The following is a 19614-nucleotide window of genomic DNA, read 5'->3' as shown; positions in this document are numbered from 1 at the left end:
GCTGGAAAACAAGGGCTGAAGAACCTTTCTTGGAACCCTGAGGAGTGGAGTTTGACAAATTGACCTTTCAGTTTCCAAGGAGAAAATGCCTTTCAAATGCTCCACGCCAATGTGCACTTCTGCGTTGCAGGCTGGAGTGTGTTCAGTGCCTTCGCTTCATACAGGACATTTTAAAATGAGAGAGAGCGGTTTGCAACAGCAAAGAAGGGGAACCAGAAGCTCCCCAGCTGCGGCAGCCTGTCCTGGAGTGGCCGGGGTGCGTGGCCAGCCCCTGCCGTGGTGGGGACCTTCAGCCAGGGAGGAGGACGTGTGTTGGACGTGTCCTGGAGTGGCCGGGGTGCATGGCCAGCCCCTGCCATGGTGGGGACCTTCAGCTGGGGAGGGGGACGTGTATTGGACGTGTCCCGGAGTGGCCGGGGTGCGTGGCCAGCCCCTGCCATGGTGGGGACCTTCAGCTGGGGAGGGGGACGTGTGTTGGACGTGTCCCGGAGTGGCCGGGGTGCGTGGCCAGCCCCTGCCATGGTGGGGACCTTCAGCTGGGGAGGGAGATGTGTGTTGGACGTGTCCTGGAGTGGCCGGGGTGCGTGGCCAGCCCCTGCCATGGTGGGGACCTTCAGCTGGGGAGGGGGACGTGTGTTGGACGTGTCCCGGAGTGGCCGGGGTGCGTGGCCAGCCCCTGCCATGGTGGGGACCTTCAGCCGGGGAGGGGACGTGCACTGGCCTGGGGGCTCCTAAGCATCTCCTCGAGGCCACGCTTATGACATCAGAAGCAGTGCTTGTGGTGCAGGTGGCTGGAGCAAGGAGCTGCGTGCTCTGCAGTGAAGCACCAGGCACCTCTTAGACCACACACAGGACAGGCAAATGATGCGTCTTGGTGCTTCTCGAACTCACCTGCTCCCAGAACTGTCCTCACACTGTCTTATGGATTACAGGTAATTAGAGGAGAGCAGTTTGTTGTGTTAAAACATGCACCCCTTCACAGTCCATGAGGAGCCACCTCAAGCTCGAGAGACCTGGCTCTCCTTCCCAGAGCCCCCATTTTGAACTGAGTAGCCCTGGGCCAACACCTCCCAGAGGCTCCAGCCGCCCATCTGGGACCATAACCACCAGGCCCTGCACAGGAGCCTGGGACCATTTGGGGTGAGACCCTCTGACCCAGCACTGCTGCCAGGAGGGTTAGAGATGAAGAACCTGGGGAAAGCGTGGACTGGGGCCGAGGAGAGACCAGCGTCCACACGCAGCACCACACAAAGAAAAGGTGTCGTTGCCATTTCTAGTTCACAGTCCCAGCAAGAGTCACGGCAGATTCCATAAAACACTGAATAATTAGCAATTTTATATACACATCTGTGTTTAGTTATATTTAGCATAATATAAAATCATTAGATTATTTCATATTTAGCCTCCCCTGAGGTTTTGCCCAAACCTGAATTAAAATGAGTTTTACTTCATAAGCACAAAGCAGCTGGGGCGGGGCAGAGATTTCTTAGGAGATGTGGGAGTTCCCATTTCTGCTGGTACGCTGGAAGAAACAAATATTGGGACTCACCCTCATTCCAAAAACAAAACTACGAGAATATGAGGACATAGAGATAATTTTAACACATCAGACATCTGGCAATAATTAAATTATTGGAGATCCCAAGCCAAGTGAGAGCAGGAACCCGGGGACATCAGTGGATGACTGATGTTGGCCTTTATTCTGAGAATCTTCTCCACACCGGGTAAACCTGAACTTCAGCATTCATGATCTTGTGGTCTATAGAGGGCAGGAGGCACTAGGAAATCCTGATATGGTAAGGCTAATAGAAGACATGCCACATGGAGCTGGGACCCCCAAGAACCATGACTGCAGGGTAATGGTGACCGATGATAGAGTGTCTTCTCAGCTCTCCATTGGGCTGGAGGATGGTAAACTGCTTGCGTTCAGCGCTGTTCCTGGATGTGTGTGTGTGTGGCGGGGAAGGCGGGGGTGGGGGGGTGGCATTTTCCCTTAGGACATTAACCACAGCCAAGCTTCACAGGGATGTACAATCCCACTGCATGCTGCCTGGACAGCCACAACATCTCAAGCAGGGAATTCAGCTTCAAACGCTCCCAGGTGCACGGGCCTCCAGATGCCTGGCAGAGGGAAAGGCAGATCCTCTCTGGAGGAATCCTTTCTTTCCCCTTCTACTCATAAAGAATACCTGCAAGTAAAATTCCAAGAAATTTGAGTCCACAATAAAAAATTTTAAAACATACCAGGTAACAGGACAAAAGTTAATTGAAAGAATGGACAACAAAAGAAAGCCTCAGATATTGTAACTATTGGACATAGATCATAAATTTAAATATTTTAATATGATTAAAGGAACATAGGAGGAAGCTAAATATAACCTACAGATCAATAGTCTTAAAAGAGACCACAATTTTTGAAGAAATATATTTTAATGAAAGATATAATAATAGAAATTCTAAACTAAGGGTATGAGTTTAATAGCAGATTAGATATAGTTGAAGAGAGAATTAGAGAAGTAAAGTATAGAACTAAGAAATTTTCTAAAACGCAGCCCACAGAGACAAATAAATTGAAAATATGAAAGTAAGGGTAGGAGCCATAGAGGGCAGAGTAGGAGAATCTTACCTACAATGCATAAGTCTTGCAGTAGAGTAGGAGGATCTTAAATGCAGTTCATAAGCATTTTAGCAGATTAGGCAACTCTTACACACGATTCATAAGTGTTCCAGCAGAGTAGAAGACTCTTACACACGGTTCATAAGCATTCCAGAAGCCTATGGAGTTCCTAAGGAAATACTAATTTAAAAAAAAAAAAGGTAGCTACATTGAGAGCCAACTTTATTGGGAAAGCCATTGCCGGGGAAGAGGCACACTCTATCACCATCGAGGATCATCTTACACATCTTACACATGATCCATGAGTGTTCCAGCAGAGTTAGAATATTACCTACGATTCATAAGTATTCTGGCAGAGTTGGAATCTTACATATGGTTCATAAGCATTCCAGCAGAGCACTCCAGAAGTAATATTTGAAGATACAGTGGCAGAAAAATTTCCACCACTGATGTAAGACACCAGTACTCAGATTCCAGAAGCCTATGGAGTGAAAAAGGCTCTACACCTCGATTCCTGACAGTGAAGTTGGAGAATCTCAAAGACAGAGAATCTCTCTGTTTGTTTAAAAAGCAAAATTTTTTGTCTTTTTAAAAAAAGCTTACAAAATTGAGAAACCTCCTTTGTCATAAGTGATTTTAAAAAAGAGAGGAGGGAATCATAAACAATATTGAGAATTAAAATTGGAATGCTAATATAGATGCTTTGGCATATAAAAGAATAACAAGGGGTCATCATGAACAATTTATGGCCATATATTTGAAATGTTAGATAACATGACCAAAATACCAGAATGAAAAACTCCAATAGCCCTGTAGCCAAGGAAGAACTTGAGTTAATAGTTAAAAGTCTTCCCACAAAGAAAATATCAGGCCCACATATTTTATAAGCAAGTTATTCCATACATCCAAACACATGCACTCATACACAAAACATCCCAGACTACACAGCTCATGAGGTTAGCATAAACTTGATACCAAAACTCAGTAATTACAGTACAGGGAATGACAATTAGAGAGAAATTTCCTCAAAAACATAGGTGTAAAAGCCAAATAATAGCAAATTAAAATCCAGCAATTTATTTTTAAAAAATGTCATGAGCAATTAAAGCTGTAATTAATGTAGTCTATCACATTAATGAAAAGAGAAAAAAATTATTATCTCAATAGATACAGGTAAAAACATTTGCTAAATATTAACATTCATTCATAATAAAAATGTTGAATAAAGTAAGACTAGTTTGTTCTTATTTTGATTTTTTAAAGACCCTACAGAAACATCATGCTTCCCAGCAAAACACTGGAAATATTCTCTTGAACACCAGAAATAAGACAGGGATGTGGGCTCTCACCCTTACAAGCATTTGTAGGAGGATCCGTTCAGCAGGCAGTGAAGCAGGAAGGAGAGATAAAGGGTGCACTTAGGAGAGAAGGAGCAAGCCTGTCATTATTCACAGACGGCCTCATTATTTACTCAGAAGAGACAGAAGAAGATCCAGGTAAACTAATGGAATTAGATAGTTTAGGAAGGGTGCTGTATATGAAATCATGCAAAAGTCAGCTGTATTTGTATATTTAGGAAAAAAAGTTAGAAAATGCTGTTTAAAAATGATACTCATTTAAAATAGCATCAAAATTTAAAGTCCCGGGAATATATACATATGTTAAATATATAAGACTTTTATGGGGAAAAATATAAAACTTAAAAGATGTTGAAGACAATAAATGGAGAGATTTACATGTTCACAGATTGGGAATAATGATGCTATTAATAACAATCAAACTTCTAGATTCAATAAAATTTTAACAAAAATCCAAAAACTATTCATTTACAAACGTGACAAGCTGATTCCAAAATGTATAAGTACAAAGAGCCAACACCTGCCTTCGTGTGTAGACAGCATAAACTACTTACACTAAAGTAAGAAAGATCACATGGATCTGTGCACGGAGAGACACCTGGGCCAGGAACAGAGGGAACCCAGGAGTAGACCCTTAAATAGAACTGATTGATAACAGGGTTGACATTACAGATCAGTGGGAAGGATGGCCTTTACAAGAAACTTTGATGGGGAAATGGGGTATTCAATGAGAAAAAAATGAAATGACCTCTACCTTGAATCACATACAAAAATCAGTTCTTCAATATCAGACTTACATGTGAAGGACAAAAATCTTTTAGGAAAAAAACAGAGTTGTATCTTTATATAGATATCTTTATATAGATATCTTTAGATCTTGAGCTAAAGGAGAATTTTTTAAACAAGATGCCAGAAATGCAAACCTTAAAGAAAATGATAAATTAGACTGTATTAAAACCAGGAACTTTAAGAAGCCAAGCCACAAACTGAGATATGATAGTTGCAGCCCACATAACTGACAAAGTTTTGGTATCCAGAATGTTTGAAGAACTTCTACAAAGCAGTAAGAAAAAGACAAATAACCCAGTAGAAAAATGGGCAAAACAAAAATTTCATGTAAGAGGAAGCATGAATGATGAATAAACATACACGAAGATGCACAAACTGATGAATTATCAAAGACATGCACATTGGAAGCCCAAGGAGATACAACGTAAATCTACCAAATCGGCAAAGTGTTTAAAGCTTAAACCAATGAGCACACGGAGCACTAGGAACTCTGTGTGTTGGTGACAGGAGTGTAAATTGATAGAATCCCTTTGGGACATCTATGTCTTAGTGATTGTACTGGAGAAAATTCTCTACATGGGCCTGGAGACACGTGTGAGAAGGTTCATGGCTATACTGTTTCAGATATGGAGGGAAAAATAAGAACCCAGTTTCCCACCGGACTGGGTAAGTGATTGGAAAAATAAAGCGTGATGCTCCATGTGTATAGAATGCAGTCACACAGCAATGAAAATGCATGAGCCACCATGACATGCAAAACCGAATCTGAGTCTCAGAACACAGGGTTAGCAGAAGACGGAAGGCACATCACAGAACGTGTATGTTATTATGTCATCTTATGCAGTATTTTGTTTAGGGATACACACATAGGTGAAAAAAAAAGTCTACATACAGAAACTATGCACCCAGAATTCATGAAAGTTATTAGCTTTGATAGGACCGAGAAGAGCTCACAGAGAGTATCAAAGATAATTTTAATGTTTTATCTCTTTTCAGAGTGTCAGGTATCCTGGATGTTTGCTGTCTTATTATTCTTTGGAACCAACACATATTTTATAATATTCTTTGGTATCTTCCTAATATTTAATGGAATATAAATATAAAATATTAATATTTTTGAATTACAAATTAACCCCAAAACTTCTAACTTTCAAGAGAAAGTCATCTGAGTTGGTGAGAGGAATCATTTCCAGGAGCCCGTGATATATACATGTTTAATAAAACACTGAACGTTATACACATGTCAGTAGGTGCACATCTAGTTTATCTCCCTAAACGTCTTTGCTATTTCTATACTAAGCAGGATGGGACCCTGGCTGTTCAGGTAGAAATGAGCGTCTTTGCATCGTGGTAAATCTCTAAGGGGGCATCTTTTCATCCTGGAGATCACCGCATTGCAAGCCCAGTCACCATGCAGACGTTTCTCCATGGGGTGGGTCTTGTGGGCACAGCATCTTGCCTCCTCTCTTCCTTCGGGTGGTCAGGCATCAGCCCCCGTTCACGATAGCACGGAGACCGATCTTCATGGATAGCCTCTTCTTGGCTTGCTGTGCCACAGTGCCTTTGGCCTCACCGCCAAAGAAGAAAAGAGAGATGATGAACAGCCCACTTCCAGCACAGGCACAGGCAAGGGCACCCCCCTTCTCTTCTCCCTCTCTGGGAATTAAGCTTTAAATGGCATCTCTGGTTTTAGTAAATAATTGTCAGGAAAGCAGTTATGTTCCAGGGTTATTTTAATTCCTTCTGACAGTTAGCAAAATTAAACATCCAAACATTGGGGCAACATGCTACTTTCAGATGACTTGATGTAAAATGATTAACATCAAAACATTTTCTTGTGTTTTGTGTTGTTGCCGCGCAGTGGATCACAACACGTTACAGGAACGTGCTCTGTCTGCTGGGCTGATCGCAGGGGCGCACGCGCGCTCGCACACACACACACACACACGTGCCCTGCCGCATGGCATCTTTCTGGCTGTGTTTTGACACAGTCAGCTGTGCATGGGTTTGCTTTGCATACAAACGATCAGGTTACACCACACCATGTGGGAAAGAGGAAGCGTCCGCCAGCTGTGCAGAACGGTGTACGTGTGTGATTCTGCGCCCGTTCCTACGGCGTACGTGCGTGATCCTGGACCCGTTCCCACGGCGTACATGCGTGATCCTGGACCCGTCCCCACGGCGTACGTGCGTGATCCGGCGTACGTGCCTGATCCTGGACCCGTTCCCACGGCGTACGTGCGTGATCCTGGACCCGTCCCCACGGCGTACGTGCGTGATCCGGCGTACGTGCCTGATCCTGGACCCGTTCCCACGGCGTACGTGCGTGATCCTGGACCCGTCCCCACGGCGTACGTGCGTGATCCGGCGTACGTGCGTGGTCCTGCACCCGTTCCCACGGTGTACGTGCGTGATCCTGCGCCCGTTCCCACGGTGTACGTGCGTGATCCTGCACGCATTCCCACGGCGTACATGCGTGATCCTGCACCCGTGCTCATGGCTGGCAGCCGGTATTGGAAGAGAATCATGAGACTGCAAATCAGGAATCCTCAGATATCCTTTTATCGTTGGCTCTTTAGTTCAAAACTAGAACTGTGGGTGTGGAAGGTATAGGAAACTCCCTCCCTGCACCACTAGTGAGTGCCACCACTGGTCTTAGTAATAGAGGTAACAGTGGTGGCATGATCATCCTAGAGATAGTAATGCTTTAACGCTGCCACTAGGGAGTTAATTTGCTCATGCTTCCTATAAGTCACTTATTCATTCCCTCAACAGATAATCGTTGAGGTCCTCTAATGTGCTGGACAGTGTTCTAAGCACTAGGGCAAATCCTCGCTTTGTGGAACTGATATTCTAGAGAAAAAATAGATAATAACCAAGCATGCATCATGTCAGAGGGTGATAAATGTTTTGGGAAAGAATGAAGCTGGATGAGGGCACAGACAGGTGATGGGATGAGGGCCCGATGTTGGGTGAGAACAGGAGGACCATGCAGATGGCTGCAGGCAGGCATTTGAGGGTCAGGAACAAACAGCAGGTACAAAGGCCCTGAGGCAGGAGCTGGCCGGGGCGTCCCGCGCTGAAGGGGCTGAGCAGGGGCGAGGGGGCTGTTGGAGGTGATGTCAGGGCAGCAGCCAAGGGCCAGGTTCTGAAGGGCCTTGTGTCTGTGGCCTGGACTGTAGACCTCACTGTGGGTGAGATGCGCCAGCGCAGGGCTTTGAGGAGAGGCTTGAGTGTGTGTTGAGTGGCCAGCATCCTCCCCCCCCCAGTGTATAGAGTCAGCCCCTGTCCAGCTGTCGAGGGGCCCAAGGCCAGAGGGCAAGTGGCATTCCATGCTGGGCTTCTGGACATTTAAAAGTCTATGTGAAGCTCATTAGCCGCTAAAAAAATGCTTCATACTTTGAAAAATATATGTTCATAGTGAAAAAAATTATTCAAATGTGCATAAAGCTATTGTTTTTATTTCTGAAAATTAATCCAATGAAAAAGACAGTGGATTGGATTATAATCCTGTGAGTAGTGATGTTCTCTCGATGGGCTGGTAAGGTTTGGCTGAGTAATAAATTAATGACATACATAATTTTGTAAATTATTGTATATTTATTTGTAAATGCATTTTATTCCCCTTGTTTCATGAAGTCACTAATTAGATTGTTTAATGACGATCTTCATAAAGTTGGGGTGTTTTAGACAGAAATGATTCAACTGTAATTGCACACAGGGTACAAGATGTAGAAGTATTTTCATTAAAAATAAAAATGCACTTAAAATTGTAAACTAAAACTATGCTTCAAAAGCTATTTTTCTTCAAAAAGATTTAATGTGAATTATTAAAATTCTAAAGCCAAATATAATTCACAAAATATCAAAATTTTCAATCAAAAGTATTTAAATAGAGCTGTATTTTAAATTGTATTTTGTGACAATTTAATCAAATTGTAGTCCATATTTTTGTAAGAATAAGACATTTGCAATTCTGGCTCTGAGATCCCTGCAGTTGCTGATGTCATGAGCTGGTTGCGTGAGTCATGCATGTCCTGTCTCGACAGACGTGGAAAAGTGAAAGGGATTGTGGGGTGCTGCGGGGCGCCTCCACATTTGTCCGTGAGTACTTCTAGAGCTGTGAGCCGACGTGCAAAGAAACGCAAGAGTGGGCACCTGGCACTGCCAGGAACGGATACTTCTTTATGCAGAAATCATTGGCTTTTCTGTAACCTGAACAGCAGGATTTGACACGTTCATTAATTTGTCTTTTCTCCTGCCTAAGTGCTTCTGCTCTTCAAACCTCCCTCTCCCAGGCATGAAAGGCCTCACGCAACACGTGGCTTCCACAGAATGCAGGCTGCAGGGGTGGAGGCCCTTTCAAGGCTCGCATGGCAGAAGTGCTGGGCGCAGGGGACATCATGCTGCGGCTCGGCCTGTGCAGCCCCTCCCAGGCCGGGCCCGGCACCATGGATGGAAGAGCCAGGCAGCGCAGTTGGGGTCTCTGCAAGATCCAGAGCAGAGAATGAGATGCTGGACGCACCTGGCCACGCGGAGACGCCGGCCGGTCCCATGTGCACCCTGAGGCCAGAACCTGCAGCCTCACCAGGCGCGCTGTGCTGTGTCCGAGGAGAATAAAGGCGGCTCTGCGGCTGTGGGCCTGAGCTCCTGGCAGGCTGGGGTCACGGGGGACAGACAGGCTTGGGGAAGTCGGTGAGGTCAGGAATTTGGGTGGAGACACCATTGGACGTCCTAGTGGAAGTGGCAAGAAGACAGGTGGGATATCAGATCCACAGAAAGGATGGGGCTGGAGGAAAGAAAATGGCTCTGATCAGTGAACAGATGCCAGTCAGGGCCTGAGGACTGAACACAGCACATGGGGGCAGAAGAGGGTGGAAAAGAGAAGCCTGAGGCCCAGCCCGGGACACCCCACACGCAGCGGACAGGGAGATACTGCCACCCAGGACACCCCACACGCAAGGGACAGGGAGATACTGCCACCCCCAGGACACCCCACACGCAGGGGACAGGGAGATACTGCCACCCCCAGGACACCCCACATGCAGGGGACAGGGAGATACTGCCACCCGGGACACCTCACACACAGGAGACAGGGAGATACTGCCACCCAGGACACCCCACACGCAAGGGACAGGGAGATACTGCCACCCAGGACACCCCACACGCAGGGGACAGGGAGATACTGCCACCCGGGACACCCCACACGCAGAGGACAAGGAGATACTGCCACCCGGGACACCCCACATGCAGGGGACAGGGAGATACTGCCACCCGGGACACCCCACACGCAGGGGACAGGGAGACACCACCGCCCGGGACACCCCACACACGGGACAAGGAGATACTGCCACGCAGGACACACCACACACAGGGGTAAATGTTCCCGTGGTGCCCAGCTGGCCAGTGGCCGCACAGAGCTGTGGCCTGGTCCTCTCCGAGCCCACGTTCTCACCCTCGGGCCACACTGCTCGGTCACGGGGTACCCCAGATGCCACCACACCCACCTTGAAGGTGGTTTTATGCTTCATCTTCCCGCCCCCTTGGCTGTCCAAAGTGTGACATCAGCACAGATCTGAGCATAAAACACTGGTGACAGCTTCCATGGCTGCTTCCAAACCTTTCCAACAGGTGTCAGGGTGTCAGGATCTCGGGATCTCAGGATTTGCTGAGTGAGAGTCTTTGGTTCTGAAATGAAGACTGAAGTGTCACTGCACGTGTTTGATGTTAAGACATGTTAGAGGTCCCAGAACCAAAGAAGCTTAGAGCAGGGCCTTCTCCAGGAAGCTTCAGACCCTGGCGAGCCCCCAGTCTAGAGGGGCTCAGGACACGTGGGTCCTTCCTACCCTGCCCCTCCCTAAGGTCTCCCTCAGCCCCTAGCCCATCCTCCACACCGCCCGTGGTCCTGGGAGAACAGCGTGTGCCCCAGCGCCCAGAGGGTGAGTGAAAGGCTCACAGTGCACAGTAGTGAGTGAGAAGCTTTAAGAAGGTTTGCAATGTTTAAACCTTTTTTTTTTTAGGAGTTTTAGGTTTGGCCTGAGTGACTGGCAGGCTATTTCTTAACCTTGTATGAATAAAGACCCCATTTTTTCATAGAATACCTATTACCACTGGGAGAGCCCAGTCCGGGATTGTCCACTCCGAGGGAAGGTGGGGCCCCTCATGGGCCTCACGTATGGCCCTGCTAGAGTTCTTTTCAGAAAACGACATGGGGAAAGAGAATGGGCTGAAATAGGAAAGTATGGACATTGCTAATTTTTAAAAGATTCCTTTACAGGAATTGTGATCAGCCCTGCGACCAGGTGGGCCTCATGTTAGTCGGCGACACGGCAGCTCGCCTGGGCCCAGGAGGCCTCTGCACTCCCAGTGGCTCTGTGGCCACCCTGGGATGCCCAAAAAGGAAAGGAGGTGCCGGTTGGGACCAGAGCTCCAATCACTGAATCAACTTCCTTCAAAGCTCTTTCCCCTTCCTCTTCCCAGGAATGACTTCCGCTTTAAGGAAAGCCCTCGGCTGGGCACCTTGCTGACATGCACGGGGAATCCTGACCAGTGGCTTCCAGTTTCAGGAAGGCTGACCTCAGGGCAGGGGCAGAGTCCACAGAGGTCCCCAAATTACCCGGAGATGCTGACCCCCTGCACGGGGGCCCTGGGTGGAAAGTGGCAGCGTTGAGGCAGCTTGTTTACGGTGGCTGTGAGGCACAGGATGCAGGTCTTACCCTAGGGGACGTCGTTTCAGCTCGGCCAGAAACCAGGCTCCACCCCATAAGGGAGGAGGATCCTTCCTAAGGAAGCCAGTGGTGCCGTCCAGAAAGCTGGCCAGGCTCCAGGTGACAGCTTCACCCCGGGCCTGGGTGCTCTCCCTCCCCTCCCACCTTCTAATGGAGCAAAGCCATTAAGTGATCCCCATTGTAATTTAGATTACAGAAGAGACTTCTGCACATTCTTTCAGGTTAAAATAACGAGGATAAAGAGAGTAGGCAAAATTATTCCACTGTAGCTGCCTGCTTAATTATATGGAATGCTGCATAAATTGTCAAGTGCAAAGAATTAGTCTGATAAATTAAAATACTAATTAAATAGGCTATTGCAGAATTTTGAGAACATTATAGGGTTCCGCTTCTTCAGGTAATTTGCATATCCTTCATCTAGTGAATTTAATTTTAAAGGACTTCTTTTTTGTGTTTGGAAACCCTTTTTGTCTCCCATGAAGATAAAAACGGGCTTTCTCTGTTATTCTGTGCCTTTATTAAGGCAGCTTCTCCAACTGTCTCCACGCCCTGGCCTGACAGACTTGGGAGGCCCAGAGCTTGGCTCAAAACATAACTCAGACCTGGCATTTGATGGACATCTGGCTGAAGCAGGCTTTTTCTTCTTTTCCTCCTTCAACATGTTCAGCAGAGACTTAAAAATTGGCAGTATTGTCATGGAGTTCATAAAAAGGAACAAAAGGACACTGAGAATCAGCAGGTATTTACTTTAGACTTAAAAGGAGTAGGTGTGAGTCCTCAGTTACACAGGTGTGGGCAAAAGTCCCGCGAGAGGACGGCGGGCTCCCCAGTGCAGACGTGTCAGGATCAGAGCTCAGCACCTGTCACAATTCCACCAACAGTGTGGAAAAGGGAATCCACGCGGCCATTTAGAGAAATCCGGCGGAGCATCAAGGGTGCAGGAATAATGTCGGGAGGTGTCGGGGGTGCCCTGAGACCCACAGGATGCCGGGGACCACGAGGCATTGTTTTTCCTTTTAGGCATATTTGAGGTTAAAAAAAAATCTGAAGCAACAAACCGCAGGGCTGTGCTGCGGAGGCTGCCCTTGTGCCCTGGAGGCTGCCCTTGTGCAGCGTTCGCGATGCAGGAGGAGGGAGGTGCGGGCCTCTCTGTGTTTCGATTCTCTCTGCCAGTGAGAAATCTCAAAGCCAGAAAGTGAACTAGCAAGGACAGGCATCGCTGAAAGCGGCCGGAACACAGGGCCGCGTGAAGTCAGCTGACGCCCCACAGACACTGGCTCGTTCCACAGCGCCAAGGGAACGCGTAGACGCCCCCGAAAAGCACTCAGCAATCTCCAAAGAGATTTCCCTGGCAAGAAGCTGGACTCTGGGGACTCCGGGACCCGGATTCTGTGCTTTGTGAGACTCCCCGGCACCTGCTCAGGGCACTGTCGGGCTTTCCAGAGGATGGTGGAGTTTCTTGACGTGAGCTGGCAGGTTGGATGTCAGTGCCCAGCACAGTGCTGGAGGGCATCACTCAGCAGACCCTGTGCAGGGCCACGGGAGGGGAGCAGTGACACCGGGAGCATATGGGCTCTGAGAAGCGGCCTGCGGAGCCCCTGACTCCTCCTGTGAAGGAACCGGCCTGTGGGGGAAGGAAGAGACCCTATCTTGGGAAACAAGAAATCAGGAGAATCCTGGTGACCTTTATCCTATTGCTGTGGGTGCTGTTAGTGGGGCACACAGCAATTCCACTGTGGGAGGAAGACCTTGATAGCTGAGTCACCCAGAGCAAAGTCGTTGAGCGATGCTTCAGCTGATGTTTGATGTTCAAAACACAAGCAGAAGCACTGATCGGCGAGTTAATAGCATAAGAGACCAGAGCACACTGGAGTCTCAGACACGCAGCAGATACAGCACTTTCTCCTTAGGAAGTGACAGTGGCCCGGCCATGAGACATGCAGCAAAACAGCCGCTGTCACGAGGGCACATGGATTAGTCGCTTGCTGTGTGCTGAGACCTGGGCCATGCTGGCTCAGAGGCTCCCACGTGGTCCTCACAGCTGCTTGTGAAGCGTGCATGGAAATCCACAGCCTGGATGGGGAGACGGATTGAAGTGTGGGAAGCGCTTGCGCCGGCACTTGGTGTGTGGCAGGAATGTAGCCACTGCCAGCTTCATTACTTTTCAATTATTTTACTCTGTGACTTCGATTTTGACTTACACTGCAGTCTCAGATTAGCTCGAGAATGAAACTGTCCCTTGTACTCTCTTAAAACCTTTTAGTATAAAAAAAAAAAAGGAAAAAGAAAAAACCAAACACTAATTCAGGTTGTTTGCTTCAATCGCTGATTTAAACCGACTGAACTACATTTTAAAAGGTCCAGTCAGTTTCGAGAGGCAGCACCGTGGGGCATGTGGGAGGGTTGTCGGTGGCACATCTGTTCACTTATCCGTATTTTTAATTTTCAGCTTTTATTTTAGAATCTGGGAGTACATGTGCAGGCTTGTGACCTGGGTATACTGGTGGTGCTGAGGTTTGGGGTACACTTGTGACCTGGGCATACTGGTGATGCTGAGGTTTGGGGTACCGTCTTGCTTGCTCCCGTCTTGCAGGTAGTGAGCACGTCCCCCAGAGGGAGTTTCAGCCCTTTTCTCCCACCTCCCTCTCACATTCCCTCTCACATTCCCTCTTACGTGTCTGTTGTTCCCATCTCTATGGCTGTAAGTACCCGATGTCTGGTCCCCACTTCCATGTGAGCGCATGTGGTTCTCTGATGAGTGTAGTTCCCACTTCCGTGCGAGAGTGTGTGGCAGCGTGTGGCTCTCTGATGATGTCTGGTTCCTGCTTCCGTGTGAGAGTGTGTGGCAGCGTGTGGCTTTCTGCTTTTGCGTTAATTTGCTTAGGATGGTGGCCCCAAATTGTGTCCTTTGCAGCAACGTGGATGTATTTGTTGAAGAAAGAACACAGGCCCCTAAGCATCAAAGTGCAGTCATAGACCCTGAAGAACCTTGCCTGTCCTGGAGAGGCTCACAATCAGCTTGGGAGGCAGCTCTGCTAGGAGCTCACCACGATGCCTGTTTCACTGACTTGGAAGCCATTTCTCAGCTCAGGTCCACTGAAGAGCAGAGACGGTGCCGTTGAACCACAGCACGTGCTTTGGAATCACCTCAGATGATCTTGTATTTATTGAACAAACTCTCTCAGACTCGTTTATCAGCCTCACTCTCGCATCGGCATCTAAAAGGAGTTTTAGTGATCAATGGGTTAAAGAATCCTGACGCGCGTCACACTCGGAACCCCTCCACTGAGTGCCTCCACAGCACAATGCTGGTCCCCACGTGCTCTTGAGGCCACGGTGAGGTTGATTTCCACGTACTCTCCAGACCACCGCGGGGCTGGTCCCCACGTGCTCTCCAGGCCACCACGGGGCTGGTCCCCACGTGCTCTTGAGGCCACGGTGAGGTTGATTTCCACGTACTCTCCAGGCCACCGCGGGGCTGGTCCCCACGTGCTCTCCAGGCCACCGCGGGGCTGGTCCCCACGTGCTCTTGAGGCCACGGTGAGGTTGATTTCCACGTACTCTCCAGGCCACCGCGGGGCTGGTCCCCACGTGCTCTCCAGGCCACTGCAGGGTTGGCGGCACCACACTTCTCATGAGTGTTCCACTGCAGCCAACAAGATCATCCTCTGAGTCACTATTGGCCGCAGCTGACGCCCTTTCCGGAAGTTCTGCTGCAGCGCGTTCCTGGCCTCACAGGAGGCCCAGTGGAAAGTGCTTAAGTACAAACAAGGACTCATTCCCTCCCCAAGGCCTCCAAGGATGCACCTTGCTGCACTGCCAATTCAGGGTGGCGGGAGTTGCCTAGTCACTACCGTGCTGGCCCGTGCTGCGACCCCACTTCAGCTGGGGGAAGTGTGCACTCCAGAACCAAGGAAACACGGACAGGAAGGTCCCACTTCAGAACCAAGGAAACACGGACGGGAAGGCCCCGCCTCAGGACCCAGGAAACACGGACGGGAAGGCCCCGCCTCAGGACCCAGGAAACACGGACGGGAAGGCCCCGCCTCAGGACCCAGGAAACACGGACGGGAAGGTCCCACTTCAGAACCAAGGAAACACGGACGGGGAGGCCCCGCCTCAGGACCCAGGAAACACGGACGGGAAGGCCCCGCCTCAGGACCCAGGAAACACGGACGGGAAGGCCCCACCTCAGGACCCAGGAAACACGGACGGGAAGGCCCCACTTCGGGTGTAAACAAAGCACTGTGCCAGCACAGGGGACAGTTTGCATCCACTCAGTAGAACTAATTTTACTTTCTCAGGAATTTTGTGAGCCCATTATTCAGTACAGCCATTGTGAAACATTGAATGATAAAAACATGCACTTAAATAAACTATGTTAAGAGCAGAGGCGATCCATACTAAAGCTCACCATTTTATAACTGGTTTTCTACATTTTACTGTCATCGGCACCCTTGAGATTATTTCTGTCCTCCACGTCTGCATGGTGGGAACTCTTCCCCGCACGCCTGCAACTCTGTATCTGGTTGGTTCGGCCCCGCCATGCCTCATGTTGAAATTCGGTCCCCATGTGTGACTCTGCATCTGGTTGGTTCGGCCCCGCCATGCCTCATGTTGAAATTTGGTCCCCATGTTGGAGGTGCAGCCTGGTGGGAGGGCTTTGGATGTGGGGGAGGGACAGATGGGGCGGGGCAGATCCCTCGTGAATGGATTCATGCCCTCCCAGGGTGGAGGTGAGCGACTTCTCGCTCTCTTAACTCCTGTGAGAGCTGATTGTTAACAAGAGCCTGGCCCTCCCTCCGCCCTCTCCTGCTTCCTCTCTCCCCATGTGAGCTCTGCACACTGCATGGCTCCCTTCACCTTCCACTGCAAGTGGAAGCAGCCTGGGGCATCCTCAGATGCAGACACCTGTGCCATGCTTCTTGTGCAGCCTGCAGGACTGTGAGCCAAATAAACCTCTTTTCCTTGTAAATTGCCCAGCTTTGGGTGTTCCTTTACAGCAACACAAATGGACTAAGACAGTATCTCTCCCCATTCCCTTTAGTAGTGTCACATGAGCACTAAAGTCAACTGTGATGGGAGCATTTACACAGAGCAGAAATTACCCAGTGCCATAATTTACAATTCTGTTATGCAGGGGACAGGCAGCCTGCACACCATGAACTGTGAGACACAGAGGGCCGTGCTGAGGATGTTGAGGGAGGGGGTGCCCCTGAGCACATGTAGGGCCTGAGCTTCCTGGGAGGAGGACTGCGTTTTCGTCAGACTGAGGAGCTCAGAGCATCCTGGCAGGGGACGGAGAATGCCTGAAATGTGCTGAAAAGCCCAATATCTGGGCAAGGAGTGCCACCTGGACCTCAGGGCCAGCAAGGCAAGTTCTCCATGCCTGCAGGGGACACCATTGAAAGGCTTTGAAGGGCCACCGAAGTGTCTGGATTTGGAGCCAGAGGTCTGGATGTTGAGGTCAAGGATGGACAGACACCCTTAGACTCACTGCTCGTGACACCCTGGGCACAGTGTGGAGAATGGACTAGAGCCAGACAACCTCTTGGCAACCACAGTCTGCAGGTCAAGTCAGGCCCACTGTCTGCTGTTGTAAATAAAGGTTTGTTGGAACACAGCCATGACCATCCACTTAGGCGTGGTCTGCAGCTACCTCCACGCTGCAAGGCAGGGCTGAGTAGCTGCGACAGAGCCGTGGGCCTGCCGAGCCTGACCCAGTTGTTACCTGCCCTTCACAGGAAAAGGGCGCTCCCCGGCAGATTGGATTTTTCTCATTACTATGGGCTGGGGCTGCCGTTTTCATTCCTGACCCTGACGTCGGTGACCGTTCTGCAGCAGTGACCAGGGTGGTTCTAAGGTTGCATTTGTACTCACTTTCTGTTCCTCAGCCTGCTTAAAAGAGTCCACTATTACCCTCCTGAGAGAAGCTTGCCAATCTGTCAGATGTCTCCTCTGTTTGCGGGAGGACAGCAGCACCGATGGCCTTATAGCTCTCTTGCCACCCAAGGCTTACATTTGTGTCCTCCCCTCCCCTGGGGCTCTACCCCATCATAAAGTATTAAAGGAGTTTTGCTTTAGCCCAGACTGTTTTCTGTCTGTCTTGTTCTTTCAGCGCAGTAGGTAATTAGTTATATGTAGAAAATAGTATGCATTTGCTCAAAGGGAAAAACTTTCCATAAGACAATGGAGAGGCCCCAACAGCAGGGAGGGCAGGCTGTAACAAGATCTCATCGCGTCCCTCTCCGAAAGGAATAATTTCATTACCCCAGATTAACACAGGGGCGTTACAATAAGGGGTGAGAGTAATTGATATTTTCCTGCTATCTCATCCTGTATTAATCACAATTGCAAGGCACTCTTCATTCATAGGGTTTGCAGTGAAATTCCATTTTTTTCTGGTTTTCATCTCCAAAGTGACAAGGGCTTTATGCAAACGCATATTTCCACAGAGTCGTAAGCCAAGGTCAATTGCCTTGTGACACCCGTCCTCTCTGTGAAGTGGGGCAGGTGGGTTTGCTGTGTTGGTGCTAGGATTACTGGGGTTTCATTTCCATCTGCTAATTGTTTCCAGAGCTCATTTCCCTTGGTTTGCCATCGAGTGCAATTCATTCTCTGAAAGTCTTCCTCATTCTACATCAGGAGAAAACCAGGGTGAGGCTTTTATTGGAGCGAAATTATTATAGGATGTTCCTGTCAGGGCATGAACAAGAGGCTGCAAAATAGCTGGCGGTGCTGATGGCAGAAATACACACATTCAGCTTTGCCTTCTACGGAGTCTTTTATCAACACCTAATGCTGGTTAATGAAACATATTTCCCAGTAATTATACAGCTAGAAACGATTACGTAATTTTAAAATAAGACGTTGCAGTTTGCAGAATGTCTCTACATATTTCTCATCAGTGATTCATAGCAGTCCTGGGGACCCGGGTGGGACACCCCTTTCTAGATGAAACCAAAAGCGCACAGTTGTGCCGGCCCGAGGTGGACGCACACTGGGTCAGTGGGAAAATGGGGCCTCGTGCAGGTTCTAATTCTGTGCCTGTTCATGACCCTTCCATTAAGGTAGGCGGGTCAAGCAGTCATGTAATTGAAATTTTCAATGGAGGAAAATACTCAGAGGTGCCCGGAGACTGAGGACCTCTCCAACCTGACTCTTGTGCTTTCTGATTTTTCCTAACAGTTGACAACAAAGACAAACTGGAGGAAACCTCTGGACTGAAAATTCTTCAAACCGGAGTCGGGTCGGTGAGTAACAGAAGGGGTGCCGTCTGCTCTGCGATCTGCAGTGCTGTCTGGGTGCTGGCGAACACCGTGAGAACAGAGGCTGGACCTGCAGGTTAATTCAGCCAAGGTCCTGTTTTCCTGGGAGGACCAGTGGGCTGCAGCAGGAGCATCCTCTGCGGGTGGGAAACGGTGGCGAAACGTGCCTGGCGAGTTCAATGATGTCTTAGGGCCTTTGAAGTCCTGATTTAGTATCCCCACAAGAAAAAGCATTCATGGCTAAGAAGAACGGAGAAGCCTTCAGAAAATAGGTGCTTCCTTCCTTCTTCAGCTGTTTTGTAGTTGCCAAGTGTGTGAAAATGAATATGGGCTAGAGGGATTACTCTTTCCTCCTGGGACTCAGTGGGACATACTTGTATCTTCAATATCGAAGGACGCACATTTGGGAGAGGCAATATAAAACAGGAAATGCTTCCATAATATCACTGAAAATCTATCAAGCCCCTGTGTGTGCAAACCTTACCATGCTGGTATCAGAGAGGCAATGCTTCCATAATATCGCTGAAAATCTGTCAAGCCCCTGTGTGTCCAAACCTTACCATGCTGGTATCAGAGAGGCGCTCGGCCAGCCTCCTCCAGCAGCTGGAGCCGCAGGCGCCTCCCCGCACCGCGCCGATGGCCGCTGTCCCCTGACATGACAACTTAATGAACTGCACACAGAGCGCGGACGCGCCTCCTCTGAGGAATGGCGTGTGGCCACTCGTCAGTCAGTGTGGACCGAAGCCAATCTGCGCTCCCGCGTTCGAGATTTCGGGTTTCACAGCGCTCGCCATTAGAGATAATTAACTGTGAAGGAGCGCTTATTTATGAGTGTGCTCGCTGCACAGCAGAGC

General features: G+C 48.9%; 1 protein-coding gene across 10 annotated transcripts in view, besides 1 other annotated feature; it reads left to right on the top strand.

Annotated features, from left to right (window-relative positions):
* Nucleotides 1–19614, top strand: part of PTPRN2 (protein tyrosine phosphatase receptor type N2) — a 1048768-nt gene that overhangs the window by 670406 nt on the left and 358748 nt on the right. For all 10 annotated transcript variants that reach the window (XM_047420678.1, NM_130842.4, XM_047420679.1 and 7 more), the window contains one exon: nucleotides 18681–18745. In XM_047420678.1, coding sequence (XP_047276634.1) covers nucleotides 18681–18745 — 65 coding nt within the window. The remainder of the gene's footprint in view (nucleotides 1–18680; nucleotides 18746–19614) is intronic.
* Nucleotides 6070–6239: an enhancer, noted in NCBI's record as "experimental_97987 CRE fragment used in MPRA reporter constructs". NCBI's record gives its function as "activates a minimal promoter by MPRAs in K562 erythroleukemia cells, with activity observed for both the introgressed and non-introgressed 7:157703956 variant alleles {active_cell/tissue: K562}" and the evidence as "EXISTENCE:reporter gene assay evidence [ECO:0000049][PMID:34662402]".

This window comes from Homo sapiens, chromosome 7 (assembly GCF_000001405.40).
Source record: "Homo sapiens chromosome 7, GRCh38.p14 Primary Assembly".
Lineage (NCBI taxonomy): Eukaryota > Metazoa > Chordata > Mammalia > Primates > Hominidae > Homo > Homo sapiens.
Note: the sequence above shows the minus strand (reverse complement) of the source record. Positions and strands in the feature narration are given on the sequence as shown.